This window comes from Homo sapiens, chromosome 6 (assembly GCF_000001405.40).
Source record: "Homo sapiens chromosome 6, GRCh38.p14 Primary Assembly".
Lineage (NCBI taxonomy): Eukaryota > Metazoa > Chordata > Mammalia > Primates > Hominidae > Homo > Homo sapiens.
In genome coordinates, this window is record NC_000006.12 from 141388239 (window position 1) to 141389442 (window position 1204).

Below are 1204 nucleotides of genomic sequence, written 5' to 3' on the forward strand. Positions count from 1 at the left end.
TATGAGCCAAAGGTGGTCAGTCTACAGCTTGGTTTTATATGGTTTATGAAGACACACGACATTTATCAATATGTGTAAGATATTGGCTGGGCGTGATGACTCACACGTGCTATCCCAGCAATTTGGGAGGCCAAGGCAAGTGGCTCATGAGGTCAAGAGTTCAAGACCAACATGACCAAGATGGAGAAACCCTGTCTCTACTAAAAAAACAAAAAAATTAGCCAGACGTGGTGATGGGTGCCTGTAATCCCAGCTACTCAGGAGGCTGAGGTAGAGAATTGCTTGAACCCGGGAGGCAGAGGTTGCAGTGAACCAAGATCATGCCACTGCACTCCAGCCAGGGTGACAGGGAGAGACTGTCTCAAAAAAAAAAAAAAAAAAAAAAAAAGTTGTACACTGTTTTTCCCAGAAAGGCAGGACAATTTGAAGTGGTGGCTTCCAGGTTATATATGGATTCAGATTTTGTTTTTAATTGGCAGTTGGTTGAAAGAGTTTATCTAAAGACCTGGAATCAACACAACAGAGCGTCTGGGTTAAATTAAGTGTTTGTGGAGACAAAGGTTTTTGTTAGGCAGATGAAGTCGCCAGGTAGCAGGCTCCAGAGAGAGTAGATTGTATTAAGGTCTCTGTTTTAATGTTAATGCTGGTCAGCGTGCCTGAATTCCAAAGGGAGAAGGGCATAAGGAGGCATGTTCCACCAACCCATTCCCATCATTGCATGAACTCAGGTTTCAGGTTAATTTTGGAGAGCCATTGGCTGACAGGAGAGGTCCATTCAGTTGGTTGTGGGTGCTTAGAATTTCATTTTTGGTTTACATCACCAATCTCAGCCTTCATAGAACTGAAGATATTTAGAAACTTGCTCTGCATTAGGCTTTGTTTTAAGGGAATGTTGTGGCTGGTTTGGTCTTCTATTCAGACTATTCAGAGTTTCTCCATATCAGCAATAATGCTGTTTCACCTTCTTAACAATCATATGCTCACTGGAGTAGCACTTTTAATTTTCTTCAAGAACTTTTGCTTTGCATTCACAACTTGTCTAATTGTTTGGCACAAAAGGCCTAGGTTTTGGTTTATCTTCACTTTCTTTATGTCTTCCTGGCTAAGCTTAATTATTTCTAGCTTTTGATTTAAAGTGAGAGGTGTGTGACTCTTTCTATTTCTTGAACACATACAGGCTATTGTAAAGTTATTAATTGGCCTA

The 1204-nt window shown here is 40.9% G+C and overlaps 1 annotated feature.

The window, feature by feature from the left end:
* Positions 284-974: an enhancer, noted in NCBI's record as "OCT4-NANOG-H3K27ac hESC enhancer chr6:141709659-141710349 (GRCh37/hg19 assembly coordinates)". NCBI's record gives its function as "activates a minimal SCP1, AML or CMV promoter by ChIP-STARR-seq in naive and primed H9 embryonic stem cells {active_cell/tissue: H9 hESC(naive and primed)}" and the evidence as "EXISTENCE:reporter gene assay evidence [ECO:0000049][PMID:30033119]".